Below are 26,206 nucleotides of genomic sequence, written 5' to 3'. Positions count from 1 at the left end.
GCCAGAGTTGTCAGCCTCCATTTCTCCTTGCCATACGTGTTCATTTGTCACATGTACAGACTTCCATTTCATCAAACTGCTCTTCCAATGACAGTGACTTTTATTTTTTTAAAAAATATAGATTAACTTGTTTCTCTTCCTCTGGAGCAGGAGCTACATCACTAAAATGTTAATCGGTGATCGTGGGAACGGCCGAGGAGCATTGGTTTCTTAATGGGATCTGCACAGGGGAGCACCCAGGCCTTCCGAGGGGACCAGCTCTGCCCAGCACTGAGTGCCTGTGGGGAGATATGTTCTCACTGGCATTTGGTTCATTTATGTTCTAAAATGAGTTTAGACACTGAATTGTTGTCATGAATAACATGCAAAATAGTGTGTATTGGGCTGCAAATATAGACATACTAAGTATCAGTTAGTAAAAGAATGTTTAAAAGTTTGTGTGTAATCTTTTGTTATTGGAGGGACACGTTGAGACTTCATTGAAGCATTTACCACATTGTGATCAAAACTGGAATTTGCTCTCTCTAATAATCCTTAAAAAACAACAGATGGTGCAGGACCAAGGTGCTGTGCCCACTCGTGTTTGTTTACTTAGCCTGAACACCAGCAGGGTTACCAGGTCCTATTCTGGGGCAGGGAAAGGCTGGATCAGATACAGCTCTGCCTTTAAAGCACTCACTGCCTGGAAGTGGGTGGGTGGCAAGGCCCACTGCTCACCAGTCACCATCAGTACCTCTGGGATAGCCCTTGCTAGGCTAGGAACTGTTGAACAGCCAGCTCTCCGAGGAAAGGGTGGTCTCGTAAATTTCACTTATAAAAAGGATGTGTAGTACCTAATTTAAAATAATAGTAGGCTGGGCACGGTGGTTCATGCCTGTAATCCCAGCATTTTGGGAAGCCGAGGTGGGTAGATCACCTGAGGTCAGGAGTTCAAGACCAGCCTGGCCAACATGCTGAAACCCCGTATTACTTAAAATACAAAAAGCCAGGAGTGGTGGTGCGTGCCTGTAATCCCAGCTACTCTGGAGGCTGAGGCAGGAGAATTGCTTGAACCCAGGAGGTGGAGGTTGTAGTGAGCCGCGATCGCGCCAGTGCACTCCAGCCTGGGCAAAAAGGGTCAAACTCTGTCTCAAAAAAATAAAATAAAAAAAAAATATGTTCAGTACTCTTTAATGCAATTTCCGTAGAGCCAGTTGCTGATCATAGATGCTTTTGTTCACTTGAGCCGCACTCAAGTCCATGGCCACGCTGTGGCTGCTCTGATGAAGGAGCTCAGTTCTGACATGAATGTTGATGGATATTTTCACTTACAATGAGTAAAGCAAAGTGAGAAAGCGAATGTTAGAATGTCCTCTTTCCTTCAGTGATATGAGACTTTGCTGACCTGGATTAAGTGTATGAATACTCACAGTGTTTCCTTAAATTATTATGTGATTCACAATGTGGAAGTGACAGGCAGGACCACTTGTGAGTGTGATCTGCATTGTCAAGATTTTCTCATCACCATCCTAGGTCTTGGACCAAGGCTTGGCAAGCTGTGGTCAACAGGCCAGATCCTGTTTTGGTACAGCCTGCAATCTAAGAGTGGTTCTTGCATGTTTAAAGGTATTTTTTAAAAAAATTAACAGGAAAATAATATTTTGTAATATATAAAAAAATTATATGAGATTCAAAATTGTGTCCATAAGTGAGATTGTATTGGAACACAGCCAAGTTCATTCATTTATATATTGCATTTTTGCCACAGTGGCTAAGCTGAGTAGCTGTGACAGAGATCATATGGCCCACAAAGCCTAAAATGTTTACTATGTAGCTATTTATGGAAAATGTTGCTGATCCCTGATCTAGACAATCAATAAAACAACGTGTGCCTTGATTTGTCACATTTGCTCATTTCCATGGCAAAATACCATGACCGTTAACCAGCCACTAAAGTGAGACATGAGTGTGGAGCTGGGCAGAGGCTGTGGCAACTCCCATCGAGTAGTATTCTTACCAGAAAGGGGTCTGATCCAAACCCCAAGAAAAGGTTCTTGGATCTCATGCAAGAAAGAATTGGAGGCAAATCTGTAGAGTAAGGTGAAAGCAAGTTTATTAGAGAAGTAAAGAAACAAAAGAATGGCTACTCCATAGGCAGAGCAGTAGCGCGAGTCCTGGTTGGCCATTTTTATGATTATTTCTTGATTATGTGCTAAACAAGGTGTGGATTATTAATAAGTTTTCCTGGAAAGGGGTGGGCAATTCCTGGAACTGAGGGTTCACCCCCTTTTTTGACATACAGGGTAACTTCTGGACATTGCCATGGCATTTGTAAACTGTCATGGTGCTGGTGGGAGTGTAGGAGTGAGGACGAACAAAGGTCACTCTTGTGGCCTCATGGCTTTGGTGGGATTTAGCCAGTTTCTTTACTGCAACCTGTAATCAGCAAGGTCTTTACGACTTGTATTTTGTGCAGACCTCCTATCTCATCCTGTGACTAAGAATGTCACCCAGCAGGTCTCAGCCTAATTTTACCCAGCCCCTATTCGAGATGGAATCGCTCTGGGTCAGATGCCTCTGACAGTATTTCTAGCCCCAGACAGAATGGATTTTAATAACCCCAAAGGTACAGATAACAGTGAAATCAGTAGGAAGTGATAAGGGCTGCATATTTATTACCCTTATTTTTAATGTATTTTATTTAACCATAAGTTTATATAATTTACTTTTTAATAATGAGTACGCTACCAGCATTCCAGAAGATTTAACAGTTGGCTCTTGAGAGCCCTATGAGCTGGTTTTAGGGCATCTGTAGCTGGGTGGAGGGGAGGCTCCTTCACCGGGGACTCCCGGGAAGAAGAATTTCCTGACTGGTATATTTAGGGATGAGGCAGGGTTGCCAGGGAAATAAGAGGTAAGACTTCTCTGCAGAGGAGACAGCAGTCAGGGTCACAGGGGGAAAGAGGAGCACAGGGTCAGGGGCCAGGAGCATTGTGGTGGGGGCTGGGAGGCTGCTGGATACACCCTGCACTGAAGCCTTGAGTAAAAACACAAAAAAGACTGGCTAGTGTGTATTCAAAACCAACATTTTTCCCCCTTTGCTTTAACATAAGAAAAGACACAGCCTTATTTTACCCATCCCCTATTCAAGATGGAGTTGCTCTGGTTCGGAGGCCTCTGACAATTTTGTTAGGGCTGGCGGACAAAGAGTAACTTCAGTGTAAGTTACAACTGCTCTACCCGGTGTTGCTGCAACTGAAGAGAGGTTTTCACAGGGGAAATGAGAGCTCTGCCCCGCTACTGTCATTTACTGAGGGCTTCACACAGAAGCCCAGGGAAGGGCAGGGGTCTCCTTCTCATGAGACCCAGTATGTGGAGGGAACTGCAGGGAAAGGACCCCGGAGTGGCCTAGCCATCCTTGCTCCAAAGAACAGCACTTCTGTTGTTCTCTAAGGTACTCAGGTGTGGAAGTCATGTGGCTTCCGTGCTTCAGGATACAAAACTGGTAGTTGAACAAATCTACCATGGCAAATCCAAACCAGTACAGTGGAAGGCCTGGAGGCGGCCAAGGGAGACCCCCAAAGCCGCTTGGTCCCAGCGTCCTCTCTGGTCACTGCTGGCTGTCAGCATGGTGGCTGGCGTGGGCCATCTTGGTCAGATCAGGCTCAGGTGGAACTTCCTTTTCCTTCTTCGTTCCCCTTTGGTACCTGAGGGGCATGCCCTGGAGGGTGTAGCCCTGGCAGGTTGTGAGGATGTCAACAGAGCCACCTGTGACATCAGCAGTTACTTCCTGGGCTGGACTTCCAGGTGTAAGCAGACAGCTCCCAGCCTTCAGAGAGAACCACAAAGCTTCAGGAACAGAAATCCTGTCACACCCTTTTGGGGACCTGGTCACTGTATAAAACACCATGTAAATATTGGTCTATTCTAATACACGTTTTGTTTTCATTACTGAACACGTTCCTGTTTCTGAAATAGAGGCAGCCCTTGAATTTTTTTGTTTTTAACGGACCATGACATGGCCCAAGGCACCCTAGCATGGGGAAAATATGACAAGCATTCTGTGTTTTTAATAATACTACATTAAACTTTCAAAAGCTAGTGGCAAAAATGTAGACATATGGCATATGTATTACTACACCCTCTCCTATTTTGGAAGTTTTTTTTTTTTTTTTTTAAGAAAAAAAAAGGGTTAAGGGACTCACAGTTTATGTATATTGAGATCGGCAAACCGTAAAAGTAAATTCAGCTGTTACATCTTAGTGAACTTATTTTTCAATATTATTGTCATTTGTGTTTTAAACTTTAGTAAAGTTACAATGTAATATTATTTTCAACATAGGAAACAAAAGTGTTGTCTATGGACAAATTATTATGAGGATGCAGAGAAGTAAACTCCTTTATTTGCTTAAAATCTTTGTTTTTTTTCTAATAGGCTAGAATTAAGATGAAAAAATTAACTTTCAGCTCTTGTGAGTTATTAAAGAATTAGTTTACTTTGTGAGTGCTAAGTCAAAGCAAATGAGGGACAGGGTGGCAGATCTGGAGTCTGGGGAGGGGTACCATTGAACTCATGCACATTGAGGACTTCCTTGGGCCAGGCCCAGAGCTGGGCATTTCGCTTCATCATTTCTGTTTTGATTTGAAAGAAGCAGTCAGGGAGAAACTGCAAGGAAGGAAATATTCCCTGGGTTTTCCTCAGGCCAGTCCAGTGCAGACCGGAAGCAGGGCACACAGAACCAAATGAGGTGGTTCCTTCCCCACACAGCCCTGTCAAGCTCAGCTGTGAAGAGGCGAGACCGTTGACCCCCTGAGTTCCTGCTACAGAGGGAGGGCAGTGGAGGATGGAGACAGGGCAGAGGTGGGTTTAGGACACCGACCCTGCTGCATTCATCGCAGACATGCCTTGTTTTTTGAGTGCATCGTGTACCAGATGCCTTGACCACATTATTTTATATACTACGCATTGCACCTGGGAAGTAGGTATTCCCATTCCCCTTTACAGGTGAGGAATGTGAGCTGCAGAGGGACAGCTGGGAAGTAGCAGACCTAGGATTTCAACCCAAGCCCCTCCCTGTTAGTGCCCAGGCTCTTTCCCAAGGCACTACCCTAAATTTCAGCTCAAGCCAGGGACTTTGAGTTTGGTTCTGGCTGATGAGAACACCAAGCAATAAAAAGTGTAAGTTTCCAGTCATGAGCTGCTTCATTCAGAAGGGGATGGATCCCTAAGTTTTCTTAAAGTCTCCTTCACCAGGAGTGAATGGGTGTACCCTCCTGCTGAGCCCCAAGCCTCCTCCCCGTGACCCAGAGCCCTGCCCTGTCCTGTCCTCTGTGAGGCCTTCATGCATCTCCCCTGGAAAAATTGTCTCTTCCTCTGAATGGTTCATAAGATTTCTCATTTCTGCCCAGTGCCTGTTGCACTGTAACCTCTACCTCTGAATCCCCCTCTATGTTTTAAATCACTTGCAAACAGAAACTGGATTTTTCCATTTCTTAGATTGTCCCAGCACTCCTTGTAAGGGCTCTGGGCCTCAGTTTTCTGTCTGTTAAGTGGGATGACCGTTCCTGGCTAGGTTGCCGTCAGAGGCTTGGTATGTTGGTACATTTGAGTGTTGGTCAGCGTTAGTTTCCTTCCACTGGAGGACACACCAAGTGAGCCCAGGCCCCTGCTTACGTAAAAGGGGAAGGGTTTTTTTTGAAAACATTATGTTTTTTTTCCAAGGGGATGTCGGGGTTTCTGTTAAGTTTTTCTCATTTCTTTAGCCAAGCTGAAGTGTTCTGCCTTGGCGGGGAGTAGAAGGTGGACTGTGTGAATGGTGGGGGCCCTCTCGGCCCAGGAAGAGTGCAGGAGGGGGTGGGTAGTCAGCTGGAAAAGTGGTCTGTGTTTTTGCTGAGGCTAGAGAGTCAGGGCCTCCCATGTTGGGCCAAGCTCACTGCCTGACTTACAATGTTTGTTGTGCTTTTGTGTTCTTTATCTTAAAGAGGCCTCTCAGACTGTTAACTTCAGGCCCCTCCAAACCAGCACCTGCCCTGTGGTGCAGGGTTTTGTCCAGCCAATGGGAAGCCGTGGGTGGTGGGCAAAGGGAAGCCTTCTCAAGGTCAGGGATGTCCGCGGCTGTTTCCGGTGCTTGGCTTTAGGCTGAGGTGATATAATTGCTCTCTGGAAATCACGCACTTGCAGCAAAAGTTCTGGATATAAAAGTTCTGCAACAAAAACTCCCACCACAGTTTTGTATCTGGTTGTTCAAGGTGTCTGGGGGCTAAAGGAAGGGCCCAAGAGGTTCTTGGACGTAGGAAGAGATGCAGGGCAGCTGCACTTGCTTAGCCACATCACACAGTCCCTTCAGATCCCTGACCTGTCAGCTGTCACAGCACAGCAGACCTAACACTGGATTCCCTCAATCCAATCAAGAAAGACTGGGTACATCAAGGAATCGCCCGTCCTCCAAACCTGGGGGCCACGATATAAAACTGAGAGGGGTTAACTTGGAGAATTGTGGTGTTAGGGTGCATACGAAGATGGTGTGTTTCTTCGTGGGCTGTCAACAGGTTGGGCTGCTTGACTTCAGAGCATGGTGGAGATTGGAAGTGCAGATTAGTGGAGGAGGAAATGCCAGGCCAAGGCTGGAGATATCCATAGGAACAGGCATGAGCGTTGTGAGGGCTGCAGACTGTCCCTCAGGACCCCCAGAGACAGGTTGTGGAGGGAACAGAACTTTTGGAGTGGAATAGCCTCAGAGATAAAGTCTTCTCTTTCTCCCTCCATCCTTTTCTCCCTCTCTTCTCTCTCCCTCCCTCACCTCCTCTAGTGCTCTTTCTCTCTGTCTCTCTCTTTCCAAAGGTAACTGAGGTTCAGGTGGCCCCAGATCAATCAGTAAACCCAAGCGACGTGTTCCACAGCATGTGCCCTGGTCTAGTCCAGCCTGCTGTCCAGCCCTGGCCCTTCAGTCAGGGTTCTGTGTTCTGAACTTTCTTTTCTTTTTCTTTCTTTCTTTCTTTTTTTTTTTTTTTTTCTGAAACAGGGCCTTGATCTGTCACCCAGGCTAGAGTGGAGTGGTGCCATCTCTGCTCACTTCAGCCTCCACCTCCTGGGCCCAAGCAATTCTTCCACCTCAGCCACCAGAATAGTTGGGGCTACAGGCACACACCAACACGCCCGGCTAGTTTTTGTATTTTTCGTAGAGAGGGGGTTTTTCTGTGTTGCCCAGGCTGGTCTCGAACTCCTAAGCTCAAGTGATTTGCCTGCCTAGGCCTCCCAGAGTGCTGGGATTACAGGCGTGAGTCACTGCGCTCGGCCTTTTCGGAACTCTTGATGGTGGTGTTATTTGGGAAGTGGGCGAGCCCGATGCCAGGTCTGGCCTTGCCGGGCAGGGCTGTGCCTGAGGGTGGGTGGCCGCAGGTCTAACAGTGGACAAGAAGTGCCCAGAGGCCACATGGTTGCTCAGCAGTGCCTGTCAGAGCCACTCAGCTCAGGTTTCGCCAGCCCAGGGATCCTCTGGGAGGCCCAGTCTCTATTTTGAGAGACAGTTCACGATGAGGTGATCAAGTGTCATATTTTCAACGGAGAATTAAAGGTACCCAACACTTAGCTCTTAGCTCAGAAAACACCAGTATCAAAACAGGCTGGCTCTGGGCCTCTTATTTCTGCATATTTTCACATACCCTTCTTTTCTGCTTTTCTTACTGGAAAGTATCTTTCAGTGTAGAATAATTCATCCTAAATAAAATACTTTTGCCATTTATTTTAAGCAGTGAAACTTCTACTTATTAATAGAGGCAGAAATAAGATTGTAAGGTGATTACATTTGAGGTAATAAATAACACAGTCTGGTTGTTTTTATAGCAAACATGCACAAGTTTGTTAGTGGGATTGCAACGAAGTAGTCAAAAACAAGGCCTGGAAATCAGGCTCTCTCCATTAGACATTGGCATGTGCACATCCTGAAAACGTCCGTTTCCCTGAACTGTGGTGTCATGTGAGTCCGTGGCCCCAAGTGAAGGGAGTTGGGGTTCATTTTCCTGAGAAATTCTCACAGTCCGTTGAGTTCCAATCAGTTATGCGCTGTGTGGAGAGCGGGCTAGTCAGATTTCACTGCTTTTCAGTTATTGACAAAAGTACATAGAAATGGACGGGGCTTATCAGCAGGCGGCAGAGATGCCTTTCAGAGCGCACGGCCTGCTGTCTCACGTCTCGCTCTGCAGTTTTTGTCTTAGGATTTCCACTCGGTTTGGTTCTCTTTTCCACACTTTGCTGGAAGGAACTCAATACAGCTCTGCTCCTTTTTTTTCCCCCCACTGAAGGAAAAAACAAACATTTTGGGTGCCTTGGTGAAGGCAAATCACCATCCTTAATATGTTCTTGCCTTCTAGGTCTGGCGTTTCTGTTCTGTTGACTTTTCTTGCCCCTTGCTGGCTCTGTGAGTTGAATCCAGAAGAAAACTGTCGGTTTTGCCATGGGTCTTCTGAGCTGAAGGCAGCACTGATTTGGCCAGCCTGTCTCTGCAGATGCTCATGGAAAACCAAGGTGTTTTCTGTCACTATACATAATTAGATGCCTGTTATGCCCCAAATACATGATGAAGCCATTAAATAATTTTTAAAATTAATATTTGTAAAAATTCATTCTGACATATTCAAGTGCTTAATGGCTGTTTGTATTTATTTTCTCTTATACCTCTTGTGGACTATTTGTCATGACCATTATGTGTGGTTAAATTTACTCCTGATCACTTGCATAGTTATCTACGATTTAATGCCTTAATCATTAAACTAACACACAGCGTCTCTGGTACTTTTCATGTGATGTGGATGTTCATGGCCAAACAACCCAGGAAGAAATTGAATAAATGTTCAGGAGAAAGTCATAAAAATATCTGATTGCTCTTTCTTTCTTTCTTTTTTTTTTGTGGTGGGGTCTCTCTCTGTCATCCAGGCTGGAGTGCAGTGGCACGATCTTGGCTCACTGCAACCTCCGTCTCCCAGGTTCAAGCAATTCTTCTGCCTCAGCCTCCCAAGTGTCTGGGACTACAGATGCCCGCCACCACGCCCAGCTGATTTTTTGTATTTTTAGTAGAGGCAGGGTTTCACTGTGTTAGCCAGGATGGTCTCGATCTCCTGACCTCATGATCCGCCCGCCTTGGCCTCCCAAAGTACTGGGATTGCAGGTGTGAGCCACCGTGCCTGGCCCTGATTGTTATTTCTTAAGAAAATAAGAATCCCCCTGCTGGCTGAATCTCAATGTAGGGATGCACTGGTGGGGTCCTCTCCATGGCTCTGCTTTCTCGGTCATCAGTGTGGCTCCATTTTCACCCCTTCCAGAGCCCACAGCCAGATGGGTTGTGGGAACTCTCAACTCTGCCCTCCCCTCATGGTCCCCCAGAAAAGGCAAAAGGAAGAGACTGATATTGTATGGTGATTCTGTGCTTTTCCTTTTTTATTGTTTTCTTCTTCCTTTTTTGGGGGGATGAGGGGAGAGTTCCATTTTTGACTAAGAAAGTGATGATGAAGAAGGTGACCATGTGTAGTGGTTTGTAGAATGGATTAGACTCAACAGATTGTAGTCATTCTTTCCTGATTCTCTATCTGGGATGGTGTTTTGGCAGCCCATAGCACTCAGCTCTGCATCGTCTACCAGAACGGTCCTATTTCTCAGAGGTTAGGAAGTTCAGCCTCTTCTGAATGACAGCGTCAATCCCACATCCAGCTGAAGCTCTCCCCTTCCCACCCTCTACTGCACTCAGGTCCGACCATGGCAGGAGCTCAGGCCTGGGTGGCTGTGGTTAGACTTGGGTCCCCTCCCCCCGAGGTGCTGCTTCCATGGCTGGGTGGGGATGAGGGGCAGGGTCTCTTCTTTGCTGGTGGTCAGCATACCTTCTGGTGCTACAGGTCTGGTGCCACATGCTCTTGTGGCGTTTATCTGCGGGTGTGTGGGGGTCCCACCCTCAGCTTCTGCCTTGTGAGCCCACAGCCTCTCCTGGCTCGGCCCACCCTGCACCCAGCCCTCTGGTTCAGGCCCCTTCTAAGTCCTCTTGGGTCACCTGAGCCCTGCAGCAGCTACCTGCTTCCAGGAACCACCTTCTGACCTCTCTGTCGCATGCTGCTGTGGACAGCCCTGGCCAGCCACCCTCTGGCGCTCCTTAGGACACAGGCATTTGTTTCAAGCTCCTGCACTTCCCCGATCCAGAGACTCACATCACAGTGCTCCCGGGCAGCTTCAGGCCTGCAGTTCTGCAGCTCCATGTCTGTGGCCCTTGACCCAGCCCTGCATATGGCTCCCCAGGAACCCCTGCTTGGTTTGGTAGAGGATGGAGAGGCACCAGGTGAGGGGAGGAGGCCACTGTGATGTCCTTACTAGACAGACCTGCTGGCCATGGAGACACTTCTTTTTGCTGATCATTCATCATCTCTTTAGCATGTTAGAGGGGGAAGGGAAGCACACTGGGGTTTCCTCTGCACTAGAGCAAATAGGTAAGAACAGAAGGGTTTGATTCCACACTGGGTTACAATACTTACACTAACTGAAGGCTTAGATCCCAGCCACTGTGGTATGGGTTTTACAAGAATGAAATTACTTAATTTTTGCCTAATCCTGTGGAGAAGGTGTAGTTATCCCAAATACAACCCAAAGGAAGTTAAATACATTGTGTTAGTTCACTCACTAGTTAGCGGTGGTGCTGAGATTTGAACCCAGGCAGTGTTAACCCCTCTCCCAGTCACTTCCCTAAAGTCTTCTCTCCCGTAGTACCCCTTTGATCTCCACTGCCATTGTGGGACACTTCTAGAGTCAAGTCTTGTGTGACTTCCTCTTTTGTGACTTTACTCCATTCATTCACTCACTGAAGGCTGGTGAGGGTTGATGGAGACAGGATAGCAGGGGATCTGCCCCACGTGCAGAAACACCAGGGTTCAAGTAACCACGATGTGGGCGATGAGGGGTGTGGTGGAAATAGCCTTGAAGTTAGAGGCAGATCAGACAGAGGAGTTTGGGCTTCACCCAGTGGGCAGAGGGACCACTAACGTGTTTGCATTAGGAAGAATGGCCAGATGGAGCCGTCCTTGAGGAATATTCATCTTCAGTGTGTGGAAATGGGACTCAAGAAGGGGAGGCAGGTGATGCAGGAGATTCCTTCAGAGTCCACTGTAAGAGTCTGGGGGAGAGAAGACAATGCCCCGAGCAGCAGTGGAGCAGGGGTGGTGGGAAGGGGCCAGCAGGAAGTCAGATAGAATCCCATGTGTGGGGAAAGGAGCAACAGTGGAGCAGGAACGGGGTAAAGGAGGGGCTGGGTTTGAGCCTTGGCAGAGCTGGAATCAGCTTGGCAGTCTTTGGCCTTGGGAGGAAGAAGAGACAGAGATGACAATGAGGTAGAAACCTTGGCACATAATGAAGCCATGACTGAAATGGAGAGGCAGGAGAGGCAGTGGTGCCCCGGAGAGCTCTTCATTGGGTGTTGTTAGGCCTAGAAACCAGCAGACTGGTACAGTCTCCTCAGGTTGTGGCAGCGAGGTGGCAGTGTGCTGCAGGTGTGGTGTCCACGTAGGAGAGAAGCTTGGAGGAGGTGTGTGTCTGATGGGGGCAGCTGGGGGCACACTCCTTGCTTCTCAGGGCTGTGCTGGCCTGGCCATGCCTCTTCCCTGCTGGGGGAGCGAGGTCAACCAGAGCTCTGGGGTCTGCCAGTCAGGGACACGGTTAAATTCAGGTGATACTGCAGCCTGCACAGATAAGGCAGCAGGGGCTAAAGGTAGGGGTGTGATCTAGAGGCATGACCAGATCCCTCCATCCCCAAACCTACTGTGCCCTTGCTGGGACCTTCGGGCCCTTGCTTGGACAGGAGCTGGGAGCCCGTCAAGCTCACGGTGTATCCATCTGCACATATTGAGCAGTTTGGCCGTGTCTTTGTAGTCCTGGGACAATGGTTGGCAGAAACCAAATACGGCTTTCAAGCTTGAAAATCCATGCTGCCACATAGAGACTGGCTGCAAGAAAGCAGTGAGCTTCTGGTTGCGTAGTTTTGGGGGATAAGAGAAGAAAAAAATCAAAACTCCTTTAGGAAAAGAATGTACTAAATCATGCCTGAGAGGTGGCAAGAATTGCTTTATACAAATTCAGCAAATGCCGAGGTTGGTCAGCTAAGGTACAGAGCTGACTTGGCTCTCCGGGAATAATTAGGCTTTCTCCTGAAGGGATCACCTGGGCTGCCTGCCCTGGAAAACTCCAAGAAGGTGGTGGACGAATGCACCTTGGGAAAAGGAAGTAAGGTTGCTGCCAGGCATCCCGATGAAAGGCGAGCTCAGCCCTTCCTCCCTCACAACTCTCGCGGTCTCATTCTCATTTTCCAGGCTTGGAGGGTTTGTGAACAAGTGAACCAAGACAATTCACTCACTGTCTTTCTGCAAAATGACTTGAGATTTCCGTTGCCGGGAGTACAGGCGCCGGCACCGCGGGCTTGCTCGGGGAAAAGCTGCATCGGGTGGCACATTTATGAATAAGTCACTAGCTGAATTGGATCGGATGCCTCTGCTAGTTCTCAGGGCACTGCTTCACTCTGCACTCCTCGTCCAGGGAAGCCCAAGGAGCGGTTTCTGTCCGTTAGCTCCTGGAACAGCGTTGGCTGTGCGGTAGAAAGCCCTTTGTGCTCCTTTTAGGGGGCAAAGCAAACCCACTCCAGGCAAGGGCAGGGGACAGCTTGGGATGTATGCAAACATTGCCTGGTGGTTTGGGAATCAGTAAGTTTTCTCTGATCTATTCCATTTCATTTGTTAAGAATGTTCAAACTTCAGTAAACTAGCACTGCTTTTTTTTTTGAAGGAGATATCCTTTTTCTATAATATTGAACAATGTAGTAACTCAGGGTTTTATCTGAAACTTGGAACAGGGGTTGCTCTGCTCAGCATGAGCATGGAGTATTTGCCGATAGTTAAGTGATCCTCACCGACAGGCTCTTTCTTCACTTGCTGGGAGTTGAGTAATAGCTGTGGGACTGGGCTCTCAAATGTTCCTCTTTGAATATTTACTTGATGTGTTGTGAGATATCAGTGTTCCCATATCTACAGGCCCTGGAGTTTAGTTTGGTGAGTGTTATGGATATGTTTTGTTATTATGTCTTAGAGAATCCTATCTAGAAAGCTAATCTTTTTATGTTGAGTTACTGAAAGCTTCCCCCACCCCCAGGTCAAAACTGTGAAATTCTATTGTGTAGGATTTCTTAGGCAGTTATGAATGCATTTGCTGCATAAATGAGCTTTTATTAGGCATTTTGAGGAGCCAGCTTCTACTCTACCCTCGCAGAGACAAGAGGCCTGCTTCTTTTTTTTTTAATCCAAAAGAGTAAGCGTGCTAATAATAATAGTAAAAAAATTTGTAATTACCACCAGTCATTGAGTGCTACCTGTGTCTCGGTGCCATACCAGAAACTTTACAGGGGTCATCTCATTTAATCCTCCCATTTACTCAGCTGATAAAAGCTGAAATCTCTCTCTGTTCAGCTCTTGGGGAAACTGAGGCCTACAGATTACAGGAGCTTATCTGGGGGAGATGCACAGCGTGGCCACGTCGTGGCTGGATTTGACCTGATGTTTTTCCAGCTCTAGAGCATGTAACCAGGATGTGGTGGATGGTGTACAGCTGTGGAGTGTCCTGGGGCAGACTTTCAACAGACAGTGCCTTTGTGTGCCCTGAAATGTGGCGTTTTGATGGGTAAAGTCGTTTCTCCCTGGCTTATTGCTCCAGTGTGATATTTATTGTTTTTATGCCACAATTCTGTGGGCTGCAGTGTGATTGTTTCATAGACACATATTTCAGCCCTTACTTATCTGGATCTTCTGTTGACTGTTTTTCTGGCTTTCCGTTTTGTTTGCAGGGGCCAAGACAGTGGGGAAAGCTTTGATGGGATTTTCCTCTGATAGCTCTTCTCCTCTATTAGAAGGAATTCTTGTCTTCACAGGAACATTGCCCTGAGCTTGGGAGGTGCTGAGCTCCAAGAAAAGGTATTACATGGATTCTTAATCTGGAGTCCCTGGTCATCAGGGTGGTTTGCAGAAATAATGTACAAGGAAGAGGCTTAGGAGTCTGAGACTCAGGGGCATGTGGCAGTTTAAAAAGAGCAGGGTCTCTGCACAAGTCTAAGGAAGTCATCAGAGCTGGGATCTTTTCTAGCTCCTGCTGGGCACACCCATAGCAGGTGCTCCTGGCTGGTGGCAAGCAGGCTGGAGTGCATCTTGCCTGGAAGAAGGTCCATGGCCTTCATCAGATACTCAAAGAAGTACCTGACCCTAAAGGTGTATTCAGGGATGCTTGAGACTAATCTGGGGTCTGTTCCAGCTCTGCCACCTACCTCATGTCATGCCGGGGCACGTCCTTCCATCTCCCTGTGACTCCAGTCTTCCTCTGTCTCCTGAGGCAGTTGAACACAGTCCCCATGCGTCCATCTGAGCCTCGTGGAACCTTGAGCACTGAAGGAAGTTCTTGGAGGCCCAACTCAGTTTGCAAATAAGGCTTGTCCAGACCCCACATCAGAGTAAAGGGGGCGTCTCTACAACTGTGTGCTGGAAACCTTCACTGAAGAGTATTCTCTAACCTCACCGCTCATCAGCCGGCACTGCAGGGCACCAGCGTTCTAGTATGTGTCAAGGAGTCCAAACATCCTAGCATCAGTCTGCCAGGAACCCCGGTGCTTGTTTTCAAGAAGTAATTAAGGCTGGAGGCGGTGCAAAGTGTGTAGGTGGTGTCCTAGGCTCAGAAAGACCTGGGCTAGAATTCCAGTCTTTTCCAGCTGTGTGATTGTGAGAAGGTTACTTAACTGGTTGGATACTCAGCCACCCTGTCTGTAAAATGGGGAGAATACACTTGCATATGAAGTTGCCAGGGGTATTGAACATACACAGTGTGGCATGGTGGCTGGATCATGGCATGTTTAGAAAATGAGGGCTTAAATCAGATTAGTGTTGGACTCAGGGATGTGGGAGCTGGTACAGGATGCGAGGATTCCTCATTCCCCTCTTTGGTAACCAGTTCTGCAGGCTGCGGTAGCACTCAGCTGTCTTCTGGGCATTTGTTTCTGGACATCTTTCTGACTTTTTATTATTGCTGAGAAAACTGGGCACTGACTTGGCAGCTGAATCCCAACTCACTCCCTCACTCACTCACTTACTCACTCACTTAGTCACTCACTTACTCACTCACTCACTCACTCACTCAACGCAGTGGTGACCGAATTCCTTCCCTGGGCCCAGCACTTCACTTACCAGTGATGAACAAGAAAGTCATGGTTCCTCTTCCCTTGGTAGAGGGAAGTCTACAACTGTGGCTGCAAATAAATAGCCAGACACAAACCAGACGCAGCTTATGTACCGCTTGTAAACAGGATGAAGCAAACATCCTATTGCTGAAGAATCTCATGGAGAGAGAATGGCAACTCCCTTCTGCCTGCAGCATAAACAGACTCTCTTAGCCAGGAGAGCCGGGTGTGCCTGGTTTCTCTCTGAAATTCCCTTTAAGCACATGCGGTTTGCCAGCAGCCAGCCAGAGTAGCCAACATGGTAAACAGGCACCCATGGTGTAGAGGTGCCATTCAGGTCAGCTGGCCTCAGCATCACTGTGGATTTCCCAGTCCACTTTTCTTGGACAGTAAGAAATTGTTATACCTTCAGGTCCACAGATGACATTTCCAACTGGAAAGATGGAAGATGTAAAGCATAGTGCTTTTGAACTCAGGGTCTGGGAAAGTACAGAGACGCATGAATTTTCCCTTTTCAGCATGCAGTCCCTGTCTACCTCAGCCTGACCAGCCTGGCTGGGCAGTGGCTGTCACCTATAGAGTTAGGTTTTAATTCAGCTACCTGGGCCTCACACCTGCGATTTGCATTCACTGCACCATGTCACCTAAGACCCTCTGACTTTCAGTGAGTGGATTTCAAGCCTTCTGCTGAATGTTGAAGAGCTCTCAGAATAAAAACCCAGCTGGGAGCTTCCAGCTGATGTGGGAATTAACAAGCGTCATCCTGAAACTTAGTAAATGTGTGATGGTTTTAAGCTAAAATCATTTAGAGCTATGGTTGATGACCTTGGAAATGGCAGAAATGTTTTCATATATATACTTTTTCATTTTATAAACAGTTCCTGCCAGGGCACACCCAGGTTTTTCAACCTGAATAGATCAAAGGAAGCTTGAGTTGTGTGTGCTGTGATTCATTCCCTGCTGAGTCCCAAGGACCTGCCCTGCCTCCTACTGGAGGGGGTGAGAGGAAGGAAAGCTGGATTACCCAGCCTGTGTGCACTGCCAGCCGGGAGCACCTGCGATGGGTGTGCCCAGCAGGAGCCGGGCAAGGTCCCAGGTCTGATGGCCTCTTTAGACTTGTGCAGAAGGCCTACTCTTTTTAAACTGCCACATGCATCTGAGTCTCAGACTCAACCACATGACATCTGCACAGATGTTTGAGAAAGGCATCCCCTGCTTGGTAAGCTAATGACTTTTCACAACCGAGTACAGATGTGGAGTCCCCACGTAAATAGCAGCCATTCTTTCCCAGGCTGAGCCACTCACAGGCAGAGGAAGCCAGGCGTTTTCTGTTTTGTGCTGTGACTGTGTTAGCTGCAGGATGGTGCCTGCGTTTAACAGAAGCCACACTGAAAGCACGAAACAGACAATGGGGAACAAGCCTGGTCTAAACCTGTGCAGGCCATCCACGTGCACAGGCCATCCACACACACAGTCCACCCACACACACAGTCCACCCACACTCACAGCCTGCCCACATGCACGGGCCGCCCCCGCATGCACGGGCCGCCCACACGCACAGGTCACCCACATGCAGGCGGATCACCTGAGGTCAGGAGTAGCCTGACCAACATGGTGTAACCCCATCTCTACTAAAAATACCAAATTAGCCGGGTATGGTGGCAAATTTGGTAGCCGGGTATGCCTGTAATCCCAGCTACTTGGGAGGCTGAGGCAGGAGAATCACTTGAACCTGGGAGGCAGAGGTTACAGTGAGCCAAGATTGCGCCATTGCCGTCCATCTCAAAAAAAGAAAAAATAATAATAAAATAAAAAACCCAGACACCGTGGTGTGCTGTCTGTCAGTTGTCCCTAGCCCGGGCATGCTGTTTTAGCGTCTTCTCCTGTGATGTGCAGTACAGCATTTTTTTTTTTCCTTTTTCTCTTTGGGGACTTCTCCTCCTGCCCCAGGCTTTGTCTCTTTTTCTCATATATGAAATTTCTGCTCATCTTTAAGACTGTTCAAGGCCACCTCGGCTAGGGTGTTAGGGTGGATACTCCACTAATGAGGTCCACACAGGTTTTTTCTCCCTCAGAAAGCTTGGCTCGTTTGGAACATTTATTCTGCAATCTCTTTTTCATTCCTATCTCAGGCTTTTATAAGTACGCAGTGTTTCTTGTAAGCAGGAACTATGTATAATTTTCAGCAGTGTCAATATCATCATCATCAATAAGCATTTTTAAGTACGGTCATACATAGCTTAATGATAGGGGCGCACTCTGAGAAATGTATCCTTAAGGGACTTCATCCTTGGGTGAACATCACAGAATGTACCCAACACATACCTACATGGTAGAGCCTACTACACACCTAGCTGTATGCTGTAGCCTATTGTTCCTGGGCTGCAAACCTGTGCGGCATGTTACTGTGCTGAACACTGTAGGCAAGTGTAACACAATAGTAAGCATTTGTATGTCTCAACATATCTAACCATAGGAAAGGTATTACAGTCTTAGGGGACTACCTTTATATATGTGGTCTGTCAGTGACTGAAGCATTATGTGGTAGATGTCTGCACCCACAAATATGAACTACATTATGCTACATATTGAGAATACAAATGTCCTTGCTGCCTTCTAGAATTGTTAAATAATAATTGAATTGGTATTCAGATTTAATTGGTCCATGATAGGACCTGGGCATATTTTAAGCTCCCCAAGTGCTTCCAGCCACAGTGCAGCCAACGTAGATATCACTGATCTCAGCTATGTGTGTGCCCAGGCCTGGAGCACCCAGAAATGGGTTCTCTGACGACATAGTTTTGAGCCATGTCTTTGAGAGCAGAACAAGTGAGGCAGAGAGTACAGTGAGGCCAAGGCAGTTGGGGGACTGGTTGGTTTCCTGGAAACTGGAGCTGTAGGCCAATTGCCAGAAGAGTGGAGGATATTGAAGAATGGTTCAGGTCTAGGGCTGGTGGAGATCTTCAGACTCTCTGGAAGTTTGGATGTGAGTTTATAGCCCTACAGGGCACAGATGTGTGACGTCACTGAGCCAACAGGTCCAGTGGTCAATAGGTCCAGATGGAAACACACAGCCGTTTTTTACTGTGAAGATGTCCAGGCATCATCAAACCTTTTTTCCCCAAAAGCAGCCCAAAATTCATTTTGTTAGTGTGACATATTACAATTTTTTAAATGTTGGCTAACTTTAATGTGTACACGTGCACACGCAGGCACACACACATGCATGTACACACTAATGCTCACAGCACTCTGCTGGGCAAACAAACCTCCCTGCCGCCCTTGCAGCCTGCTGGTTGCAGCTTAGGCCACAGCCAGTGGGCCCTGCCAGGCGTGTAAGCAGTGCGTGCCCCGAGCAAAGTCAGGCCTGAGAAGACAACAGCCCTCGCAGGCTGCTCCTAGTCACACTGTGGAGGGAAGGGTGGAGTACACACCGTATGTGATTCACGTGACTCCACCTTTGTGTGTGCTGTAGAGATGAGGGCTTGGACCAGGGTGTTGACACTGGACGTGGGGAGGGAGGGTGGATAAAATTCTATTACAAGGGTGCCTCTGGGTAGCTGGGGACAGATTATTTGTTGGGGATAAGTGTGGGGCAGTCAAAACCTCTCCCGACTCTCTCCAGCCTCTCACTCCCATTGTGGTGCCGGCTAAATGAATAAATGCTGCTTCCTATTTGAACTGGTGAGTTCTAAAGGAGTCCAAGCCAGCTAAATTGGAAAAGATACTCTTTTCCTAAAAATGAAAAACACTTTTTTTTTTTTCCCCTGAAAACACCTTTGGGAGGTAATGCTAATGTCTCCGAGCCTGGGCCTCTACCCCTAGACCAAAGGGTGGTTAATGAAAGAATCCATAAGCTGTTTCTCTCTGTCTTGATTTTTTCCATCTCTGAAATGGTATGGAATCTGTTCTTTCTAATAATGACTGAATAACATAGTGGTTAAAATTTCAGGCTTTGAAACCAAATTGTCTTCAGTTTGTCAGTTTTACCTCTCTGTGACATTGGGAAGGTGTGCTCACACTTTCAGCTATAAAATAGGAATATCAGTAATACCTCCTTAAAGTGGTATACTGAGGAATTGAATAAATATTTAGTCCTTACAATGGTGCCATATATGTTGACTATTTTATTTTTATTTCTATAAATTGAAAGAAGTATATAATGGATAAAGATATAACAAAAATTATAAATATTGTAAGTATAAGCCTTTTAATAAGAAAAAGAGAATTTATACCTACTTATAGCAGAGGATGAGATCTGAATGTTATTTTATTATTATTATTATTATTTTTGAGACGGAGTTTCACTCTTGTTGCCCAGGCTGGGGTGCAGTGGTGCGATCTCGGCTCACTGCAACCTCTGCTTCCCAGGTTCAAGTGATTCTCCTGCCTGAGGCTCCCAACTGGCTGGGATTACAGGCATCTGCCACCACGCCTGGCTAATTTTTTGTATTTTTAGTAGAGACAGAATTTCACCGTGTTGACCAGGCTGGACTTGAGCTCCTGAGTCAGGCAGTCTGGCTGCCTTGGCCTCCCATAAATGCTGGGATTACAGGCATGAGCCACCACACCTGGCCCCTGAATGTTATTTTAATGACGTGAATGTGCGTAACTTTACATTAACCAGTGACATGAATGTCAGTAAGTTTACAGCCTCATCTAATCACTTTTGCTGTCGTTTTAAATGACCTCTTTCATTTTATAAGTAATACATATACAAGTGATAACTATGGAACAATTAGGAAATGTGTAGAAATAAAAATAGCAAAACATATGTCATACTACCCATCACCCAAGGTCATTTTTGCCAATTCTTTATCTTTCTAAACTGCTATATGATCCATTGCTATAATTAATGTAGACCTCTCTTTAAAAATAGAATTTTCCTAAACAAATAATATTCTGAAACTTGTTATTTTAAAAAGCCTGTATTGAGCATTTTTGCACATAAAACAATATACTTTTAGGATATGTTTGCCTAGTTCTGGTATAACATAATTTATTGACATTGTCTTTCATTGATGCATGATTAGATTATTTGTTTGATGTGTTAATTTATTAATGTATGGTTGGGTTATTTGTTTGCCATTAGAATTTATGTCGTGATGACCATCTTTGAGCCTCCCACAATGCTGTCTTGTGGGATTGTTTAGAGTAAATTTCTAGGAAAGGAATTCCTGTGTCTCTGATCCCTCATGCCAAATGCCTTTGGAAGACCACTCTGAGCAGAGGTGAAGGTGTGCTGAGGCTCTCACTGCCTCTCTGTGGACCCTCTAACTAGGGTATGGCCAGAGCGGGAGGGAGGCAGCGGGAGCAAACCCTCTGGAGTCAGCCAGGTCTGAGTTCCATGTCTGTGCAGGCACCGGATAATTGTATGCCTTTAGGTGAGCCACAGATCTCTCAATAAGGTAAACTTGGTAAGGTTATTATTAGCATAGGTCCTAGTGGATGTTAAGTATCGAGTAAGTACTCGACCTGCTACCACGACAATAAAATACCAGGGCCTATATAAAGTAAGGTTCTTAAATCAAAATATGTACATACATATATATACACACATATATATGTATTCTATGTATAAAATAAGGTACCTGTATAAAACAAGGCCAGTTGCTTTCCCTGGCTAATCTGGCGGAAACAAGAATTTCTAAAAATGTTCATCAGAACCAGGGCCTACTTGAGGGCGGAAGGTGGGAGGAGGGTGAGGATTGAAAAACCGCCTGTTGGGTACTGTGCTCACTACCTGGGTGATGGAATAATCTGTACACCTAACCCTGGTGACACGCAATTTACCTGCACGTGGACCCCTGAACCTAAAATAAATGTTAAAAGAAAATGTTCCTCAGTGTGGGTGACTCATCAGGTGTTTAGAAATACCCCACGAGGTGAATTGAGCATTTGAAGCACAGTCTGAAATAAGGTGAAAACAAAGGCAAAGGGGGTTATGCGTTAGTAATCCCTTTACCATCACCCGCATCCTTTCCCTGCCAAACAGCCGCATCTGTCCACGGTGGCCGTGTGGACAGGTGGTGGTGTGATCGACTTTCTGGCTAATTTAGCACAACACATCCTCGAGATCATGGATCCATGGACTCCAGATCCTCAGAACTGGCCATAGATTTGGAGCTGGGGCAAGATTTAATAAAGTGTCACATGTGTTAGTGAGCCCACCTGATTCATTGTGATCATTAATTCGTGTGATGTGTCATCCCTGTGACAATTCAGAAAGGGTCGGGCGAAACCCTGCTGCACCCACCCTCCCCTTGACCAGATCCTGTGAATACAGGCTTGTGTACCTCCCTGACAGCAAGCATGTTTTTAAGGTGTTTCTTTCCGGGAATGCTTCCTTTTAATAACCCTTTCTCTATTTTGTTTACTTTATTAGTTTTTACTTGTTTGGGGGACATTGATTTTAAAAAGGCCGTGGCACTTGGAAGGTGCTCCTGAAGACAGACCTGAGTATGTGTAAGAACGAATTATTCCGAGGCAGGTAGGAACATTGCCACTGACTCTGTGCCTTTGTGTTGTTGTTTTTAAGGAGGAAGATGAAGGCTCGTGCTCCCCCACCTCCTGGAAAGGCTGCCACTCTGCATGTGCACAGTGACCAGAAGCCCCCCCACGATGGGGCCCTCGGGTCGCAGCAGAACTTGGTTCGCATGAAGGAGGCGCTGAGGGCCAGCACCATGGACGTCACCGTGGTCCTGCCTAGTGGGCTGGAGAAGAGGAGCGTGCTCAATGGGAGGTGAGAGCCGGTGCTGCAGGAGGAGTCGCTGTACTCACTTTGCGAGTATAGCGGGGAGAATGGAAAGGCGGATGTTGATGTATTGCATTTTCCTCCTCATCAGGTCTGACCTCAGGAACCTCATGGATATAAATCGGGCTTAGTGACTACTTAGAGCAGGCTGAACTGTCTGTCTTACCTGGGGTGGGCTTATGCTAATTGATCCAGCCATGATGGCTCACCAGATGCTTAGGAGAGCTGGGGCTCCAGGGCTGCCTCCTATGAGGAGGCAGGCTCAGAAACGAGGGCAGGTACAGCGGTGACCTACACCCCTGGGTGGGACAGCAGCCACAGTGTGCCTCAGGTATCCTCAGCTCTGAAGGGACGCAGCCAGGAGGGCAGCCTCCTAAATTAACCATTCCCACACCTACTTGCAGCAATATGTGGAGGTGTGTGTACAACTGGCAATCAACTTTCTAAAGTGAAAATATTTCAGGTTTAGATGAAGGAATAAACCAACCCAATCATGGATTTCCAATTTAAGGGCTTGAATTTGAGACCCTCAGTTCCCACATGCACTCTTCTCAGGACTGATCTGCCCGTGGCTGAGTGTCTCACTGCACTTCACTCACAAAAGGTGCGGCTGAAACATTGGCAAAGTCTCCTTCATCATAGCATTTTGAGTTTGTGACCAATAGATTTGCACATTTTATGTTTGACAGTGATCAAAATAATCATGATTTTATTGTTTAAATAGTTTTGTGCTATTCTTACTGATACTTTTAGTGATAACCCAATGTATAATAAAAAAACTAACAAAGTCACAGAAAAAAGTTAACTATAATTTATACGTTTTACTGAAGAGAAGTATGATAGAATGATTAATTACAAAAACTTTCAAGCATTCATACATATTTGTATGATTCTGATGCAGCAGTGAATTGAAGCAGCATTTATAAGAAAACAAGGAGAATAAGAAATGATATAAAATGGGCTGGGCACGGTGGCCTGTAGTCCCATCACTTTGGGAGGCTGAGGCAGGCGAATCACTTGAGGTCAGAAGTATGAGACCAGCCTGGCCAAAATGGTGAAACCCCATTTCTACTAAAAATGCAAAATAATTAGCCAGGCATAGAGGTGCATGCCTGTAGTCCCAGCTACTTGGGAGGCTGAGGCAGGATAATTGCTTGAACCCAGGAGACAGAGGTTGCAGTGAACCGAGATTGTGCCATTGCACTCCAGCCTGGGCAACGAGTGAAACTTCATCTCCAGAAAAAAAGAAATGATATAAAATGTTTTATTCTTATGAAGCAGTTTGCTTGAGTAATTTTAATGGATAACGGTGAAAATTAAATCACTCTGGGTGTTTTTATTCTCACAGATGCCTTTTAAAAAGTGATGTAAGCATTTTATTTTAAAATACCAGTATTTAGATTATAGTTGAAATTACCTAATCCTTTGCAACTATTTTGTTACTTTATCAAATTAACCAGTTTATAATCAAAATTCCAGGTGACAGTCTAATTGGCAAAGGGGTGCATACATTTTTCAAAAGTATTTTATGAGATAAGTGAATAAAAATTTGGGGAGCATTGCTCGAGGCCTCGGAATATACCTAGGATTGGAACTGTTGAGTCATGGGATACAGTATTTCAGCTGCACCAGGTGAGGCCAGCCTGCTCTCCAGTGTGGTGCCACTGGGCTAGAATGGGAGGTTGCTCCTCAGTGGGGGCCCTGTGGCTGTGATCATAGCAGGAGGGCTCAGGCGCAATTAACTGTCTACAGTGGATCAAGGTGGGAGGTGCCTGGGCTCAAAGCCTGGTCCACCGGAAGCCACTATCTCTTGCGGCAGTTCGATAGGCTTTCCCCCCAGGGTTCATGCACAGTGGAGAGACAGGAGTTTCTGTGAGTTTCTTTGTTTTATAAAGTAGTCATAGGCCAAAGTACACTTTTCCTATATAACTTTGTAACGTAAGAAATTAGTCGCATTATTATAGTTTTAAAAAACACTTTAGTATATGCATGAAATTTTCTCAGTGGGTATATTAGGGTTTACTCGCCATTCTTATATTTTAGCCCAATTCCTAGGTACATATTTTGTTTAGAAAATGGCATTGTGGGCCAGGCATGGTGGCTCACGCCTGTAATCCCAGCACTTTGGGAGGCTGAGGTAGGTGGATCACCTGATGTCAGGAGTTTGAGACCAGCCTGGCCAACATGGTGAAACCCCGTCTCTAATAAAAATACAAAAAATTAGCCAGGCGTGGTGGCGCATGCCTGTAATCCCAGCTACTCGGGAGGCTGAGGTAGGAGAATCACTTGAACCCGGGAGATGGAGACTGTGGTGAGCCGAGATCACGCCATTGCATTACAGCCTGGGCAACAAGAGAGAAACTCCATCTCAAAAAAAAAAAAAAAAAAGAAAAAGAAAAGAAAATGGCATTGTGGATCATGTCTTAATTCTGCAGTCCATGGATCCAGTTTTACAAATGCACAAGGAAAGAATAGAATGCGCATTCTAAAAGTAAAAATATTATTTTAAAAGAATGCTTTCATTTCTTTTATTTCCCTTATAAAGTAGAGGTTGCCACCATGAAGTTTTGTAATGTAGTGACTGAGAATAGGTGCAGCCTTAGAGATGGAGTGTTAAAATAATGTTATCTTTCTTAAGTAGTGAATTATTATCCCTTCTCATGGTTTCCTGAAGCATCAGTGAGTTATAGCAGCAGCTGTGAGCTGCCTCCAGTGGGTCTTTGGTGGGATAACTATTGCGGATGCAGTAGCTCCTTGCTTTGGGAATTGGTTTTATGTTATGCTCTTTATTAATATAAGAGTGGGCTGCAGTTAAATTCCTGACCCTTGCTTAAAATAGATCTACTTGTTTTTTGTCATTGTGGTTTCTCTTCTGTCTTAAAAAGTGGGTTTAGTAAAGAACATGCAACCTTTTCATAGGGTAAGCAAGGAGTTTGTAATTTATAGTCAGCCCCTTAACTGTGTTATTTCCTGACATGAAGGATTCCACAAAGGAAACACATTAGTAATTGGATGCTGATAATCCCATATGGAAAATCAGTGAATTTTTTTTTTTTAGCTTCCCTTGAATTAAGAAACATAAATAAAAGTTGAAGTCTGTTCTTACAGATTAAGACATGAGAATTGGTGCTCTGAGCCGTTCATAGGGGAAATGTTCTGGCCTACCTTAAGGATGGTATTACCAGCACCCCACACAGCTGCTGGACAGAGGCCACAATCCCATCATTTTAATTGAGGCACAAGAACAGAAGATCTTTTGGTCAGGTGCAGTGGCTCATGCCTGTAATCCCAGCACTTTGAGAGGCTGAGGTGGGCGGATCACCTGAGGTCAGGAGTTTGAGACCAGCCTGGCCAACCTGTCTCTACTAAAAGTAAAGAAAATTAGCTGGGTGTGGTGGTGCTTCCCTGTAACCCCAGCTACTCGGAAAGTTGAGGCAGGAGAATCACTTGAACCTGGGAGGCAGAGGTTACAATGAGCTGAGATTGTGCCTGTGCACTCCGGCCTGGGCAACAGAGTTGAGACTCCGTCAAAAAAAAGAAAAGATCTTCAAAGAGCCCTTTACAAAAGGGTGTCAGGTATTTAGTGTGCTAGGCTGTGTCATTATGATATGGTCAGTGCCTTGTGTCCAAACTGGTGTTCAAGGCCAAGGGCTAGGGCAGAAGAAGGCAAGCCTTCCTTTTGCAGAAGAGAGGAAATCTGCCTCATATTCAGTCCTGTGATTCTGCCTTTACAGGCCATTGCATCCCCTTTACAACAGACAAGCTTAGACCTGTGCAGGGAGTTTTAGGTCCCTGTCTGTGTGAAACAGCACAGGACTCTTGCAGCAGCAGGTGTTGGGTCTCCATGTTCCTTCTGTAGAGGGCTCACCTGTTCTCAGGTGCAAGGGAAGGGAGGCTGGGAGGGACCCTCATCCCTCTCTGTCCTGTGAAGGTATTGATGGAGCACATGTACAGCCTCTGAAAGGTCATGGCCTTGGCCTTGCACTCTTGGATGTGAGGTCCTGGCCCCAGAGGCTGAAGGAAGTAACTTTCGAGAGGACAGCTTTGCTGCCATGCACTGTTGAGTAGGCCCCAAGAAGGCTGTTCCAAAAGTCACAAGGTTAAAAGTCAGGTGCACCTTGGTGTGATTATGCTTCTATTCGAAGACTACCCATTACAATAGAGTAAATTCCTGTGAGCCAGAGCCCACTTTGGTAACCTGAGCTAGAAGTGAGTCTTGGTATGTTCAGTGGGTATGATC

The 26,206-nt window shown here is 46.3% G+C and overlaps 1 protein-coding gene across 22 annotated transcripts in view, besides 7 other annotated features; it reads left to right on the top strand.

The window, feature by feature from the left end:
• The window catches only part of COBL (cordon-bleu WH2 repeat protein), a 300,598-nt gene that overhangs the window by 75,115 nt on the left and 199,277 nt on the right, over nucleotides 1–26,206 (top strand). For all 22 annotated transcript variants that reach the window (NM_001346443.2, NM_001346442.2, NM_015198.5 and 19 more), the window contains exon 2: nucleotides 21,751–21,954. In NM_001346443.2, the coding sequence (NP_001333372.1) occupies nucleotides 21,751–21,954 (204 nt within the window). The remainder of the gene's footprint in view (nucleotides 1–21,750; nucleotides 21,955–26,206) is intronic.
• Nucleotides 3,548–4,088: an enhancer, noted in NCBI's record as "H3K4me1 hESC enhancer chr7:51305304-51305844 (GRCh37/hg19 assembly coordinates)". NCBI's record gives its function as "activates a minimal SCP1, AML or CMV promoter by ChIP-STARR-seq in naive H9 embryonic stem cells {active_cell/tissue: H9 hESC(naive)}" and the evidence as "EXISTENCE:reporter gene assay evidence [ECO:0000049][PMID:30033119]".
• Nucleotides 7,322–7,841: an enhancer, noted in NCBI's record as "H3K4me1 hESC enhancer chr7:51301551-51302070 (GRCh37/hg19 assembly coordinates)". NCBI's record gives its function as "activates a minimal SCP1, AML or CMV promoter by ChIP-STARR-seq in primed H9 embryonic stem cells {active_cell/tissue: H9 hESC(primed)}" and the evidence as "EXISTENCE:reporter gene assay evidence [ECO:0000049][PMID:30033119]".
• Nucleotides 11,768–11,901: a silencer, noted in NCBI's record as "fragment chr7:51297491-51297624 (GRCh37/hg19 assembly coordinates)". NCBI's record gives its function as "represses an EF-1alpha promoter that drives an FKBP-Casp9 reporter gene in an ReSE screen in HepG2 liver carcinoma cells {active_cell/tissue: HepG2}" and the evidence as "EXISTENCE:reporter gene assay evidence [ECO:0000049][PMID:32094911]".
• Nucleotides 12,033–12,906: an enhancer, noted in NCBI's record as "H3K4me1 hESC enhancer chr7:51296486-51297359 (GRCh37/hg19 assembly coordinates)". NCBI's record gives its function as "activates a minimal SCP1, AML or CMV promoter by ChIP-STARR-seq in primed H9 embryonic stem cells {active_cell/tissue: H9 hESC(primed)}" and the evidence as "EXISTENCE:reporter gene assay evidence [ECO:0000049][PMID:30033119]".
• Nucleotides 14,443–15,642: an enhancer, noted in NCBI's record as "BRD4-independent group 4 enhancer chr7:51293750-51294949 (GRCh37/hg19 assembly coordinates)". NCBI's record gives its function as "activates an origin of replication core promoter dependent on BRD2, P300/CBP, MED14 and CDK7 cofactors, and independent of BRD4, by STARR-seq in HCT116 cells {active_cell/tissue: HCT116}" and the evidence as "EXISTENCE:reporter gene assay evidence [ECO:0000049][PMID:35650434]".
• Nucleotides 15,807–16,515: an enhancer, noted in NCBI's record as "NANOG-H3K27ac-H3K4me1 hESC enhancer chr7:51292877-51293585 (GRCh37/hg19 assembly coordinates)". NCBI's record gives its function as "activates a minimal SCP1, AML or CMV promoter by ChIP-STARR-seq in primed H9 embryonic stem cells {active_cell/tissue: H9 hESC(primed)}" and the evidence as "EXISTENCE:reporter gene assay evidence [ECO:0000049][PMID:30033119]".
• Nucleotides 16,516–17,224: an enhancer, noted in NCBI's record as "H3K27ac-H3K4me1 hESC enhancer chr7:51292168-51292876 (GRCh37/hg19 assembly coordinates)". NCBI's record gives its function as "activates a minimal SCP1, AML or CMV promoter by ChIP-STARR-seq in primed H9 embryonic stem cells {active_cell/tissue: H9 hESC(primed)}" and the evidence as "EXISTENCE:reporter gene assay evidence [ECO:0000049][PMID:30033119]".

The sequence above is a fragment of the Homo sapiens genome, chromosome 7, assembly GCF_000001405.40.
Source record: "Homo sapiens chromosome 7, GRCh38.p14 Primary Assembly".
NCBI classification, from domain to species: domain Eukaryota; kingdom Metazoa; phylum Chordata; class Mammalia; order Primates; family Hominidae; genus Homo; species Homo sapiens.
Note: the sequence above shows the minus strand (reverse complement) of the source record. Positions and strands in the feature narration are given on the sequence as shown.